We start from the raw sequence: 15917 nt of genomic DNA, 5'->3' as shown, positions 1-15917 counted from the left end.
GTATTCTATCTTCATGGACTTTGGAATGGGTTGCTGTTATGTTGATTTTTCTCTCACATGTAGTCCAAGTTAATCTTATAGACAATCTCATAGATAGCCTGACGGTTTTCACATGTGCGTTTATATTTTTAGTTAGAATAACTGTTCTTTATTGCCTACAATGTGACTGTTTTAATTAGTGAATAGCATATTATTTATATTTTCTTATTTATGATTCATTTAATCTATTAATCCATTGATTGTCAATAGTGATCATGACTACTCCTTGACCCTTGCAGACATGTATTATTCATGGACTCATCTGCATGGGCTCAGTGTAGATCTTTCAGGCTTTAACACAATCCACAGTTAAAATTTTTTTGCTTGTTTTCTGCATTTTATTTTTTCTCTTTCCAACATAACAAATTTTTTTAAATTTAAGTTAATTTTGAGTTCTGGTTTACGTGTGCAGGATGTGCAGGTTTGTTACATAGGTAAACATGGGCCATGGTGGTTTGCTGTACCTATCAACCCATCACCTAGGTATTAAGTCCCCCATGGATTAGCTATTTATCCTGATGCTCTCCCTCCTCCTGGTCCCCCACAAGCCCTAGTAACCACAGTCTACATCTTAATAGCACCACAGCAATATAGGAGGTATTTGTTATCTCTAGATGGAACAGCAACTAGTTTCCAATGACTTTATATTACTTTTGAAGAAGTTGGATGCACTTTCCATCATGATCACAGAAAAATCAACACTCTCCTATTCTTGTTAACAAATAATTTTCTATTGACCCAAGCTTTGTGCCATCCCAGGCAAAAAGCCTTGCTATTCAATTTCTAGCAGTAAGGATTGCCTAGTATTAACTACTTCAAAGCTAAATCAAAATATTTGATAGAACATTCATGTTTAGCCTAGAAGTGGATGATTCTATGATAAAAACTGCCAGTTGGGACTCTGCATATGTATATGTATGTGTATATATATATATAATATGTATATATTATATATATATTATATATATATAATATATATAATATATATATATAAAATCCCCAAATAGATATCCTCCTTTTATTCTCTTAGTAACAGAACCCTGGAATTTAACAGAGTACATGAATGCCCAGAATAAGGATTTCATTTTTCTGCCTCCTTTGAAGTTGGACGTAGCCATTTGATTAAGGTCTAGTCTATAGAATATGGGTAAATGTAATGAACAACTTCTAGTTCTGGTCTATAGAAGTGTATACTGTGTCCTTTCTTCTTTCCTTCCAACTGAGAAGGGGATGTAATGGTAAGAACTAGAGTAGACATATTTGGCCATAGGATATATGCTGCATGTTGATAGGCTTGATGGCTGGCTGGCAAATTGGCTGGTTTAGAGTCTGTCCAGCAGGCAAGAAGCTGGCAGGAAGGCAGGTTGAGAGCCTGCACGGCTGGCTGAGAGACTGGATTGCCAGCAGACCAAAAGTTTGGCTGGGAGGCAGGCGGAGAAGCAGGATGGCTAGCTGGCTAAGAAGATGTCTGGGAGGTTGGCCAAGGGACTAGATGTGAGGCTGGCAAAGAGGCTGGCTTGGTGGTGGCCACCAAGTTGGCTGGCTTAGAGGCTTTCTGGCAGATAGGCCGAGAGGCTGACTTGGAGGCAGGCTGAGAGGATGGCTCACTGGCTGAAAGTCCGTCTGGATGGCTGGCAGATCCAGAGGCTGGCTAGGAGGCTGGCTGAGAACATGGATGTTAGGCTGGCGGAGAGGCTGGCTGGTTGGCTATGTTGTCAGGCTGCTAAAACAAAGTACTATAGACTGGGTGGCTTAAATGACAGAAATTTATGTCTCACAGTTCTGGAGGCTGGAAGTCTAGAATTGGGATGCCAGCATGGTTGGGTATCGGTGAGGGCTCTCTTCCTGCCTGCAGACTGCTGATTTCACCTTGTATCCTCACATGGAAGAAAGAGGGCCCAATAGTTCTCTGGGGTCTCTTTTATAAGGGCTCTAATCTCATTCATGAGGGCTCTATTCTCATGACCTAATCACTTTCCTATATCTAATATCATAACATTGGGTATAAGGACTCCAACTTTGAATTGTGAGGAATACAGTCAGTCTCTAAGAGATAGAAAGAGCTGGATCTAGTCCTAGACTACTTACATGAACTAAGAGAGAATAAACTTCTTATTTAGGTAACTGTTGTATTGTCCTTTGTTGCTGCATCCAAACAATTTTGTTAACTTATAAAACTCATATACATAAATATCCTATACTGGACTATTAAATAGAATGGTTAATTTTGGCCTAACTACTTACTCCCCTTTTGATTTTGAGCAAATTACTTAAATTCTCTTAGCCTCAGGTTCCTATCCCTTCTATAAAATATGGGTTGCAGCTGGGCACAGTAGCTCACACCTGTAATCCCAACACTTTGGAAGGCCTAGGTGGGTGGATAGCTTGAGCTCAGGAGTTTGAGACTAACCTGTACAACATGGCGAAACTGTCTTTTCGACAAAAATACAAAAAAAATTAGCCAGGTGTGGTGGTTCATGCCTGTAGTCAGTCCCAGCTACTTGAGAGGCTGAGGCAAGAGGATTGCTTGAGCTCAGAAGACAGAAGTTGCAATGAACTGATATCACAACACTGTACTTCAGCCTGGGAAACACGGTGAGACCCTGTCTCAAAAAAATAAAAAAATTGAAAAAAAAGAATTAAGAAAAAGCTGAGTTTTAGGCATAATAAACAAAATATTTTTTAAAAAATGAAGAAAATGTGGGGTTGCTATGAGGGTTAAGATAGTTAATCCACTTAAGTGCACGCCTCTACACTTGACACAAAATAAGCCTTCCCAAATAGGAGGTAGTATTATTAAAGCAGTATTTCAACCCGTTCAGTTATACAGATGTATTTTTGGGAAATAACTATCTCAAAAGTTTCTTTGGAAGTTATGTTTTTCAAGACTGCGTGTCCTAAGGATACTTACAGTGATATCTTTTAGGACTTTTATTGACATTTGTTACCATCCATTAACAAATTTTCTAGGTTAAATTTTTCCATAGGATAGAGCTTTATGATCTTAACTACTAATTGGCTGTGAGAAGATTGCATTCACGATTAATTTTTAAGTAAATGTTTTAGATTTATCCTTAGGGACTTTCTCATTTCATTTCTATGAAGAGTTGGTCAATCCAACTCTTCATAGAATTGACCTACAGAGGCCCATATTGTAGGGGCTCTATAATTCTCAAATGAGCTTGTTAGCCCTACTTCTAGCTTGAAGTCTATGGACTTTGAACAGACATCTAGAATATCTGCCTGCTGGTAACATTTTAATGATCATTTAGTCTTAATTCATGCCCACCAGAAAGTTTTCAATAGCTTTGCTGCAAGAAGTAATATTCAGTAATCTTCTGTGACTGCTACCTATTGGCTATGAGATTCCCTAATTATATTGGACCATTTTTTTTTCAAAATGTGGTTCAGTAAACTAAACACATTGTACAAAAAGATGGTTTCCTGATCATATACATTTGGGAAATGCTAAACTAAACAAGATTAAACAGCTTTCTTTCCAGCAGGAATCCCTTGAAGACTTTAACATGGTGAAGGTAAGCCACAGATCTCCAGAAAAGAGTATTGATTGAAGGATTTTCTAGGATTACATGATCAAGTAGCTCTTGTTTTTATAAAGCACTACATATACCTAATATAAAACCGTAGTTTGGAAATGCTTATTGTTTGATTGGCTTAAGGAAGGTCATTGGAAAGCCTCATGGGTTTCTGCTGACATAACTGTCCCAACAGATTAACCATTAGTCAGATGTTTTCTTGGATCTATTTCTTGCTCCTTAAACACCCTTAGACACTATGCATTAAAATAATCACTATTGCAAGGTTCTGCCCTCAGTCCCAGTTCTGGCTTTTGCCCTCACTGAACCTTGCAACTGAGGTCCCTGTAGGCCTAATAGCCAAGAACCTTAATTTGTTCAAGGCTTTGACATGCTATCTTGCCTAGTAAGCAAATCCATTTGCTTTGAATTCTCCATGATATTATTGTGGCTTGTGGATGACCTGCCTGGTAATGTTATTGACTGAACCCATTTATTTTCTCATGAGCTGTTACAAGTCATAAAATTATTTTCAATGCTCAATGATGCCACAAGGAACCTAATTGAAAATTAGAATTCAGAATGCATAGCTAGATTCTGAGAAATCATAACTAAATTACAAATTTGTCAAAAGAAATTCCAATCAGTAATTATTGGCTATATTATTGATACATGAGAAGATATGTGAGGGAGTGGATGGAATGCTTTGAAGACGTGGCTCTTGTTATTGTTTCACATTGTTTAGTAAGAAAATTATCATCGTGTGAAGGCCTATACCCAGGACACACCACACTCAGTGAAAGATTTCTATCAATAGCATAGATGAAAGCTGCTGTTGAAGTCTGTTATCTGGGCTAACTTTTGGCTATGGATGCAAGAAGCCATTTTAATAGTCTAGCTCCAGTCACTATTTAAACTAATAAACTCCAGTCCCATAGGGAGTTGGTCTGATATGGTAATTACAGTGAGCTAAGCTATGCATCTGACAGTGATACTAAACTTGAGTTCCAGCTCTACTGTTTACAAAGTAGGTGACCTTAAGCAAGTTAACTCTTAAACCTCCTAAATACCCTCATTTATAAAATGAGGCTAGTAATAGAATCTAATTCATGGAGTTGCTGTGAGGATTGAAAAAGATAGTTTATGTACTGGGCTTGCATATGGGTAGTATTTAATAAATATAACCCTAGTATTAGTTATTAATTAGTATTAGTATTAGTTATTATTCATAATAAAAAAGAGATTATGTACTGGGCTTGAATATGGATAGTATTTAAAAAATATAAACTGGCCGGGGGCAGTGGCTCATGCCTGTAATCCCAGCACTTTGAGAGGCTGAGGCGGGTGGATCACAAGGTCAAGAGATCAAGACCAGCTTGGCCAATATGGTGAAACCCCGTGTCTACTAAAATTACAAAAAAAATTAGCTGGACATGGTGGCGTGCGCCTGTAGTCCCAGCTACGCGGGAGGCTGAGGCAGAAGAATCACTTGAACTTGGGAGGTGGTTGCAGTGAGCCGAGATCACACCACTGCACTCCAGCCTGGCTACAGAGCGAGACTCCGTCTCAAAAAAAAAAAAGAAAAAAGAAAAAAAATATATATATATGTGTGTGAGTGTGTGTGTGTGTGTGTGTATAATAAAAAATATAACCCTAGTATTAGTTATAAATTAGTATTAGTTTTTATTATTAATAATAAAGTTATTTATGTACTGGGCTTGCATATGGGTAGTATTTAATAAATATGACTACCCACACATACGTGTATGCACACACTCCTTTAATAATAAAAAACTCCAGCCTTGTTGATGTAGTGGCTTGTTTTTTTCTAACTCCAGTCTCCTGAATGATATACTTGGGCAAAGGCTCTTATCTCTTATTCTTAGTTTATGCCAGATATAGTGTGCAAAGCAAGTTTGAGGTTCAGCACTGAAGAAGGTAGGACATCAATTCACACATCAGAGGCAAATGCCAGCAGTGTATCTTGAACTTTACTAGAGGCTGTAGGGACTATGAGAGAAGATTGCAGTAGGCCTCTGGGGACACTTAATTTATTAAAGAAACTTAATGCACCAAAAAGGGACCCAAGAGGGATGTTAAAAGCTGCTGCTAGAGAGGAAGTATTCCCAGAATCTCAGGAGCAGCTGGAGGACTCCGGACTCTAGCAGTGGTTGGCCGGTGGTGGGTGGGGGATGGAGTAGAAAAGAGAAAGTAAGCGCCAGAAAATTACAATTGCACTCACCAATTCACAGACTGTCCTTCCTCTCAATCTCCTTTTCCCCTTGACTTTACCCTTGAGGGGCCAGATGCAGCAGCTAGCGAACAAGCAAGGAAGTGAGCATGTGGGAAGAAAAAGTTTAGCCTTCTCCATTTCACTCACCACACCGAAACAAGCGAGACAGGCTTTCCAATTTAAAGTAGGCTTGTAAGAGAGGGGTGGTGACTGAGTACAGTAGGCTTTATAATGAATGAACTATACTAGAGATAGTCTTGCATACTAGATTAGACCAGACACTTTTATAATATAAATTTTCTTGTCATTGACACAGATGAGAAGACCTAGGAGACCCACCCTATATTTCATTTGGGGGCAGGAGAAGTGTAAGTTCAGAAGCACAGTTTGGAAGGGACAATAAAAGAAAAACTTCAGTTCTTTATATTTCATTGTTCCCTGTTCAATTCTGCTGTCTCAATAAAACATTTACCCATCTAATAATTATTCAAATGTTTTGCTTTTTATTTAGAAGTTCACTCTGTAGATTATAAAGATAATCTAATAAATTAAGTTGCTTTCTTTTATTAAAAAAATTGCTTTGTAAAAACTGTCTTCACCCAGAGAATAAAAGGAGTATTTCCTATGCTGTTTCGTTTTGTTTTTTTTTTTTTTTTTGGAGATGAATGAAAAACAAAAATCTCCTTTTTTTAGTGTCCTAGAAACTGTTTTTAAAAAGCCAAGCATTCATGGCTGAATGAAGGCATGAGCAGTAGTTCCTTTATAAGTGAAAGAAAGAACAGTTCAATCAAGCATGACTACCACAGTTTCCTTAAAATGTTTGCAAAATCTACTGGGCAGACACCATGTTTTCTGATTGCTAAACTAGACTGAAGTAATGTGGGTATGAGAGTTTCCACAGGAAAGAACACAAAACATGACACAGGATGCCACAGAAGCCATGTGGAGTGAAGGAAATGCAAACCTGTGAGTTAGGCCTTTGAAGCTCTGCGCACCTGCTGTTCAGCATAACCGAGATGGTATGTCATATTTCACACATAGAAAAATGATCAAATGGCAGATAGATACCTTTTCTAAAAAAAATGTGTTTTAGAGAAATTGAGAACGCTACCTTTTCAGATAGAAAAACAGGATATATGGATTTTTGTTTTCTAAAGTAAGAACAGCAGATTTCACTGGCATACAAGTTACTAGCAACTGATGTACACACTGTACATTAAGTCAATGATTAATGTCTTTTTAAATCGTGTCAATTTCTGGAACTAGCTACAGGGAAAGTAATTAGGTTAGCATCTTTACTGTCCAATCTACCAAAAAATTTTCATGAAGTGCTGACATATTCTTATTCTCTGTTCCCCTTCCTCCAATCTATTTTTAGTTACTTGGTTTGGGGATAATTATTGAATTTGTTTATATAAAACAAAAGGGGCATCTCACATTAAAACAAATTAAATCTTCCCTAATTGCTTAGAATTCGACTGTAGAAAATGGAAGGATGAATTCACTGGATGTCCTTTTTATTTCTCTAAACCCAGAAGTATTGAATTATAAATACAAAATAATTTTATGAAGACCTCAAAAAGATTAATTATTCCTATGTATTATCTGTTATGTTATGGTCTATAAATGCTCATATGCCATGACAATTCTATAGATTAGACGACTGTGGACTTCTTTGCACACATGGTATGCCACTATGGTAGAGTGGGTGAAAAGATGGCCCTGAAATCATATATGAGCTATCTAGTAATGCATTTGAAATTTAATCTCCCTGCATCTCCATGTGTTTAGCTGAAATATGGGCATAATAACAGTATCTTTCATTAAAGGTTATTTTGAAGATTTTATAAGGTAAGGAAATAAAGTGAATTACATTGTCCCCTCTTAAATCCACTCAATGACTTTCTATTGTCCTTTTGATAAAATCTCCACCCCTGAACATGGCCTCTAAGGCCCTACATGATGTAGCTACCTGTACATCCAACTTCATCTTGTCTACTCTATTCACTATCTAGCTGAAAGCTTTTTTTCTTTTTCAGTTCCTCCGAAGTTCCTGCTTTTTGCTGCCTCCAAGGTTTCACAAATTCTCTTTTTTGCCTAGAACACATCTCCGCCCTCCTCCTCACAGCACACATAGCTCCCTCCCACCCAGCCTTCACATCTCAGTTTAAATGTCACTTGCTTTAAAAGGACTTTTCATATTTACCAATCAAAAATCATCCCTTCTCCTTATTTTTCTGTAGCATATAATGTTGTTTTTAATATTTACCACAAATGTTTGTGGTACCTGGTTTGAAATGAATGGACAGACAGACAAGAATCAAGCAGAAGAGTAATTCAATACTTCTTTTATTAATTTTAGGCATGTCAGGCTCTGGAAGCTATGGTTAGATCCAAACTTCCCATAGGTCTTATAGCTTGGAAGAGCAACACAGAATTCTGGCTTTCTGAGGGCAGCCCACACAAAAAGAAAGAGGAGATGAAGGAGAAGGGATCATCGGGCCAGTGCCTCCTTCCAAACCACCAAAAAATAAATTACTGACCTATCACAGGCTGAAGGTGTGGAGTGGAATGCAGAGAAGGCAAAAAAAGTTAGGAGGGTTAGAAACTCCCTCCATCTGAACTAAAGACTGAAAAAGCATTTCCTCCATCTCAACTAAAATTTGTGAACTTGAACCATATGCACTGACTGTTTTTGAGGTTAGAGACAAATATAACCATATTCATATGATTTAAACATAATTATACATGGAAATGTATACACATGGAAATATGTATGTATGCATGCCTAGGTATGCTATGGAGTCTATGTAATATAGATTTATATATGTATACCATACATACAGCATGTGATATGTAATATTTGTGTGTATTCATAATACATGTATATGCCATACACACACATATACATATATACACATTTGTGTGATTATTTGGGTAATATTTGCTCTGCAATCATTCTGTAAGCTCTAAAATGAGAGTGAAGTAGATCTACTTTGCTTACCACCATATCTTTGTGGTTCATCACAAAATATCTATAAAAATTAGTTGAATAATAGCTGTAAGGCGTTTGACATGTAATTTGACTTAAGAACTCAGTAGATGGTACCTATTATGATTGTACTGCTTCTGCTTGTGCCGATAAAATAGTCTTAATGTGTTGGGTATTACATTTTGATCTGGACTGTATATTTGTAAGACTTCCATTTCAGAAATTCATAAGCTTGCCTCAAAGGTTGCTCATACTGTTTGTCCTTAATGGATTATAATTTCAGGTAACATCTCCTAGTTGCAACCTCCACAGCACTGGAGTCATAACCCCAAGGAGAAACAGGGTGAGGAGGGACTATAGCAAACTAAACAGTGCATGTCCTGCCCAAAAAGGGCAGCCAGTTTTCCAATCCATTTTTTTTTTTTGAGATGGTGTCTCACTCTATTGCCCAGGCTGGAGTGCAATGGCACAATCTTGGCTCACTGTAAGGCTTGGACTGCCACCTGGCTTCAAGCGATTCTCCTGCCTCAGCCTCCCAAGTAGCTGGGATTACAGGCATGCACCATCATACCCAGCTAATCTGTATTTTTAGTAGAGATGGGTTTTCACCATGTTGGTCAGGCTGTTCTCGAACTCCTGACCTCAGGTGATCCACCAGCCTCAGCCTCCCAAAGTGCTGAGATTACAGGCATGAGCCACCCCACCCAGCCTCCAATCCATTTAGACTTGCTTTGGCAAGTGTGAATGTAGTACTAGCAGGCCATCTAATTTTTTTTTCAAGAGAAGCTAAAATTCCTATTTTAAAATGAAAATATACATTTTGAAAACTAAAAAATTTCTGTGGTCTGAATCATTCTGTGAACTTTTTGCCTTCATGCTACTCACAGGCAGTTAGTTTGTGACCTCTGCTTTTAGAACAGTTGTCTTGTGGTCTGAGGTTTTATTAATACTTTTAGTGTATTTCACTTACCTTTTACATTGATATTATTCTGTGCTTTTCAAATAAGTTTTAACAGCTGAATTTCAGTGCTTTATAAGAAATCTATTTCTAGCTGTTGCTTTTGCATTTCTACCTGTCTTTTGCTTCTCCAAATTCCTCTTCCATTTTTTTTTCTTGATGTCAGAAGAGCTTTTAAAGCTAATTATCTATTTTAAGTATAGCATTTTTCATAAAAAGGAAAAAATGGAACTACACAGTATTTTCAAGCCACAGCACAAATAAATCCATTTTTTCATGTGTTTAGTAAACTCAACTACAGACATACATGAGAAGAACTGACACATTAAAGTGGAAGCAATGAATTTATATACAGTCAATGTATTCTGTCTATAAATCCATTGGGCAAAAATTAGGTTTTCTTTCATTTTTCTTAGGAATAATTTTTGTTTTCTTTTTCTTTACAATTCAACTTTTCTTTCACACTCAAGTGGTATATACGCAGGTTTGTTACTTGACTCTGAGGCTTGGGGTGTGAATGATTCTATCACCAAGTGGTTAGCATAGTACCCAATAGGTCGTTTTGTAGCCCTTACCCCCCTACTCTTTCTCCTCATCTAGAAGTCTCCAGTGACTACTGCTGTCATCTTTATGTCCAAAGGTACCCAATGCTTAGCTTCCACTTGTGAAAACATGCAATATTTGGTTTTCTGTTTCTGAGTTAATTCATTTAGGGTAACAGCCCCTATCTGTATCCATGTTGCTGCAAAAGACATCATTTTGTTCTTTTTTATTGCTAAGTAGTATTCTATGTTGTATATGTACCACATTTTCTTTATCCATCCACCCTTGATGGGAATCTAAGTTTGCTCCACGTCTGTGCTATTGTGAATAGTAATGAGATGAGTATATGAGCACGTGCATCTTTTTGGTAGAATGATTTATTTTCCTTTGGGTATATACCCATTAAAGGGATTGGTGGTTTGAATGGTAGTTCAACTTAGCTCTTTGAGAAATTTCCAAACTCCTCTTCACAGTGGCTGAACAAATTTACACTCCCACCAACAGTGTATAACCATTCCCTTTTCTCTGCAGCCTCACCAACATCATTTATTTTTTGACATTTTAATAATAATAGCCACTCTGACTGGTGTGAGGTGGTATCTTACGGTTTTCATTTACATTTCTGGTTTTCATTTGTATTTCATTTTTGATGATTAGTGATGTTGAGCTTTTTTTTTCATATTTTTGTTGGCCACTTGTATGTCTCGTTTTGAGAAATGTCTACTCATGTCCTTTGCCCACTTTTTAATGGTGTTATTTGTTTTTTGCTTCTTGAATTGCTTAAGTTCTTTACAGATTCTGGACATGAGACCTTTGTCAGATGCATAATTTGCAAATATTTTCTCCCATGCAATGATTTTTCTTAGGAAACATTTTTTCCATAGAAAAATAAAACTAGATTTTTATGTTAGCAGTGGCAGAAACTACTGGATGTCAACGAATTTAAAATGCAAATTTAAAATTTAATATTAAAATAAATAATTACTTAGAATTTTTATACACTGTATATCTACAAAAACGTTCTTTGAGATTTTTTAGACATAGATTTTTATCAAATATCACACAAAATCACACTGCTCTGTTTCCTTATCTTTCTGCGGAAACCCAGTGCAATTTTTTGAAGATGTTTTGAGTCACGAACTCAACATATGCAGCACTGTTGATGCAAGTAACTCAAATGAAGTGATGACAATATAAAACATTTTTGATCAAGTTCAGGAGCGTGTAGGCAGTGACAATTATGTTGTGACTGCCACCTGGCCAACAGTAATTCATTTTAAGATGAATTCCTCTTTCAGAAGAAGTGTAAAAATATGCATATTAGTATTAATGAAACACTCTCATCTATAGTGCTTAAATGAGTTTCTGAAATATTAATTTTATAGGAAAACTTTTTACTTTTCTTTAAACTTTAAAATGATTTTTTAAAACCTTATATTTAAAAATAAATTATTTCCACAATACCATCAATTTTTGGTCAATGATTGAATTGACTGAATAGTTTTCACTGCTCCTTTGTCTAGGGTAACCTGCAGTGCCATCTCACTGAACTGCTCTCTTGCCTCAAGAAAGAATGAATAAAACTTTCAAAGTAACTCATAGCTTGTAACAAGGAACTGAAAGCAGTCAACATAATGAATATAAACATTTCAAACTTGATAAAAACAAACATTTACCTAAAGCTCTAGGTTGGGTACTTCAGGGAATACAAATAGTAATAAAAATATTCCAGGCTGGGCACAGTGGCTCACGCCTGTAATCCTAACACTTTGGGAGGTCGAGGCAGGAGAATCACTTGAGGTCAGGAGTTTGAGACCAGCCTGGCTTACATGGTGAAACCCTATCTCTACTAAAAATACAAAAATTGGCTGGGCGTGGTGGCAGGCACCTGTAATCCCAACTACTGGGGAGGCTGAGGCAGGAGAATCACTTGAACCCGGGGGGCAGAGGTTGCAGTGAGCTGAGATCACACCATTATACTCTAGCCTGGACGACAAGAGCGAAACTCTGTCTCAAAAAATAAAATAAAATAAAATAAAATAAAATAATAAAAATAAATAAATAAATAAATAAAGTATTCCAAGTATGCATAATGCAAGACTGACTGACAAGAGTACTCAATAGAGATTTTTTAAAAAAAGGGCAGTAGGAGAATCAGGAGAGAGTATTATAAATTCCTAAATATAAGGTACATCATTTCCCCCAAATAAATAGTGTCTCAGAACAAAAGGTCCTTATTATCAAAATGTTAAAAAGCTTTCTCTGAGGCATCACAGCATAATACTTAATGCATGTACTTTGAATTCACATTATCTCAATGCCTGATTACCTTATTTACTACTCGTGAGTTCTTGGATAACCTTTCAGTTTCATCATTGGCTAAAAGGGAGATACTGATATTACTTACCTCCTAGCCCTGCTGAGAGAATTTACAAAGCTAATAATGTGTCACAATGCCTGGTACAAAAATATATGTGTCATAATTTATTTATTATTTCTATATTTCCTCCCATTATTGTACATTAATCTGAATGGCAAACTACTAAACTCCTGAGGTTGAAGAGGTATCTGCACTCCCATGTTTACTGCAGCACGGGTCACAATATCTAAGATATGGAATCAACTTGTGACTATCAGTGAATCAATGGATTAAAAAACATGTGGCATGTATACACAACAGAATACTATTCAGCCTTAAAAAAGAGGAAAATCATATCATTTGTGACAATGTAAATGAACCTAGTGGGAATTATGTTAAGTGAAATAAACAAGGCAGAGAAAGACAAATATTGTGTTATCTCACTTACACATGTAATCTAAAAAAGCTGAATTTATAGGAGAGTGGAATGGTACTTAGCGGGCTGGGAAAGGGGGGAGTTGGGGTGATACTGGCGAAAGGATACAAAATTTTGGTTAGATAGAAGAAATAAGTTCAAGAGATCTAGCACACAATATGGCGATTAAAGTTAATAACAATGTACTGTATTCTTAAAAATCCCTGAGAAAGTAGATTTTAAGTGTTCTTACCACAAAAAAAAAAAAAAGAATGCAAGGTAGAGCATATGTTAACTATCTAGTTTTAGCCATTCTACAATGTAAACATATTCAAAACATGTTGTCCATTATAAATATATACATTTTTGTCAATTAAAACTTTAAAAAAGAATTTACCTTTTTCCAGGCCAAAAAGAAAGCTTGTATCTAAAGCAGAGAATAAGCTACTGAACAAATAAATATAAGAGGATGTGATGAAAAACGTCTTAGCCAAAGCTCCCCCAGAAAATACAGCCTGAGGCAAAAACCTATATGTGAACTCTTTACTGGGGAGTGGATCCCTGGGAGCAGGGCTGAAGGATAGGGCTGAGATGGTATACAGAAAAGCAACAAAAAATATATATCAGAAATATGCCTGTAGTGGCCAGGTTCGGTGGCTCATGCCTGTAATCCAGCACTTTGGGAGGTCCAGGTGGGCGAATCACTTGAGGCCAGGGGTTTGAGACCAGCTTGGTCAACATGGAGAAACCCCGTCTCTACTAAAAATACAAAATTAGCCAGGCATGGCAGTGCATACCTGTAATCCCAGCTACTCAGGAGGCTGAGGCAGGAGAATCACTTGAATCCAGGAGGTGAAGGTTGCAGAGAGCCGAGATTGCACTACTACATTCCAGCCTGGGTGACAGAGTGATGAGACTATGTCTCAAAAAAAAAAAAAAAGGAAAAAAGAAAAAAATCAGCCCATAGTGATGAAGTCGTTGAATGTTAAAATTTGAAAATGTGAATTAAATATTTCATAAAATATAAGTGGAAATAACAGTATAGTTTAAAATATAATTTTACTTCTATAGATATTCATCTAAATTGATGAATTAAATAAGTAGACATTTGCTTATTTTATCTATATACCTAATTTTCATATTTGGCAAAAGCAATACTGGATTTTCTTTTAGAAAAAAAAAAAGGAAAGATTATTTTAAATCCTGTTGTGTACATATTTCCGAGTATCAGAGATTTTGAAAGTCTTGAGAAGGAGGTAGGATTTGAATCAAATCTTGAAGAATAATTTGAGAAGATAAACTAAAAGTAAATGCATTGAGGGGTTACTATTTTTTTAGGTGCTGTAGATATATAATCATATTAAATTCTCATAGGTATTATTATTCTCAGTTTACATATGGGGAAACTGAGGCTCAGGTAAGTTAATGAATTTGCTTAAAAAAATGCCGCAACCTATACTGGTTCCATCTTGAATGCAGCCTTTTCCAAGCCTTCTACTTTCTTCAAGACACAATACAGTGCAGAATAGATCCTGGAGAAGACTGGGTTGGAATTCTCCCTCCCGTACAGTCCTAATTGTTTGATTTGTGTAAAGCATTCAATTTTTCTGTCTCTTAAGTTTTCTTATAAAGGAGATAACATCTCTCCAAGGAACTGCTGAGATACTTAAATGAGCTCTTGTAATTAAAATGCCTGGAACAGCAATTGGCACACAGTGCTCAATGGGTATTAGCCATCATGTTGTAAGAAAAAGTAGAAGGAGGAAAAGGAGGGAGAGAGGAGAGAGTGAGGAGGAGGAGGAGAGGAGGAAGATTTTCACTCTCTCAAATTGTCTCCTCGACAAGTAAAGCAACAAGAGATCACAATAGTAAATACATAGATAGGCACAGACACATCTTTACCTGCTTTTTTACTAAAAATCTGGGAAAAATGTGCAGGAGCTCGTCATTGTGGAATCATTTCAGCCTAGATGAAAATTACTGGGAATATATGTTCCAATGGTCTTGAGATTAAACATATTTTCTTACCTTTTTTTTTTTTTTTTTTGGAGGGGAGGGGATGGAGTTTCAGTCTCATTGTCCAGGCTGGAGTCTGGAGTGCAATGGTGCAATCTCGGCTCACTGCAACCTCCACCTCCCAGGTTCAAGCGATTCTCCTGCCTCAGCCTCCTGAGTAGCTGGGATTACAGGCATGCACCACCATGTCCAGCTAATTTTTTTGTATTTTTAGTAGAGATGGGGTTTCGCCATGTTGGCCAGGCTGGTCTCGAACTCCAGACCTCAGGTTATCTGCCCGCCTCTGCCTCCCAAAGTGCTGAGATTACAGGCCTGAGCCACTGTGCCTGGCCCATACCTTAATCCTTGTAAAGCCAATTTCCCTGTGTACTTTGCTCTCTGAATACCTCACTGTGAAGGTTGCAAAATAAAAAATTTATACCCTAAGAATATAGCCTAAATGTATTCAATGTATTCACTATTTACTACTTAACCTCTTTAAGTTTCAATTAAACCTATATTTATAAAATTGAAAAAAGAATTTTAACTCACACACGTTGTGTATACACAGCATATATGTTAGGTATTTGACTAGAGTCTGGTGACTATCGATCAATTAATAAAAGATAGCTTTTGCCGTATTTCCTCAGACATTTTTATTTTCCTCCATATATTAAGATTCATTAAACCAGAATACATCTTATAACTAATGTATACATTCAATAAGTGAGCATTGTTCTTCTTTATTTCCCAGGGCTATTATGAAGTCATTGTTGTACCTTGTAGCATTTACCTTTATTTCCCCTCAGAAAACATAAATCCAGAGATTGCATTGTATTTGCTAAAC

At 36.7% G+C, this 15917-nt stretch overlaps 1 long non-coding RNA gene across 2 annotated transcripts in view, besides 2 other annotated features; it reads right to left on the bottom strand.

Moving 5' to 3' along the window:
* LOC439933 (uncharacterized) overlaps positions 1–15917 on the bottom strand; it is a 30100-nt gene that overhangs the window by 11737 nt on the left and 2446 nt on the right. The window contains exons 1-2 of one of the 2 annotated variants that reach the window (NR_122080.1): positions 5818–5961; positions 2450–2642 (exon numbers count right to left, since the gene is read on the bottom strand). This is a non-coding gene — a long non-coding RNA (uncharacterized LOC439933). Of the gene's footprint in view, positions 1–2449; positions 2643–5817; positions 5962–13872; positions 13998–15917 lie in introns of those variants that run through there. The other variant, NR_122079.1, reaches the window with a different exon arrangement.
* Positions 5964–6023: a silencer, noted in NCBI's record as "silent region_15345". NCBI's record gives its function as "represses an Ori minimal core promoter by ATAC-STARR-seq in GM12878 lymphoblastoid cells {active_cell/tissue: GM12878}" and the evidence as "EXISTENCE:reporter gene assay evidence [ECO:0000049][PMID:35858748]".
* Positions 6034–6083: a silencer, noted in NCBI's record as "silent region_15344". NCBI's record gives its function as "represses an Ori minimal core promoter by ATAC-STARR-seq in GM12878 lymphoblastoid cells {active_cell/tissue: GM12878}" and the evidence as "EXISTENCE:reporter gene assay evidence [ECO:0000049][PMID:35858748]".

The sequence above is a fragment of the Homo sapiens genome, chromosome 4 (genome assembly GCF_000001405.40).
Source record: "Homo sapiens chromosome 4, GRCh38.p14 Primary Assembly".
NCBI classification, from domain to species: Eukaryota; Metazoa; Chordata; class Mammalia; order Primates; family Hominidae; genus Homo; species Homo sapiens.
This window is presented reverse-complemented; position numbering and strand designations above follow the sequence as displayed.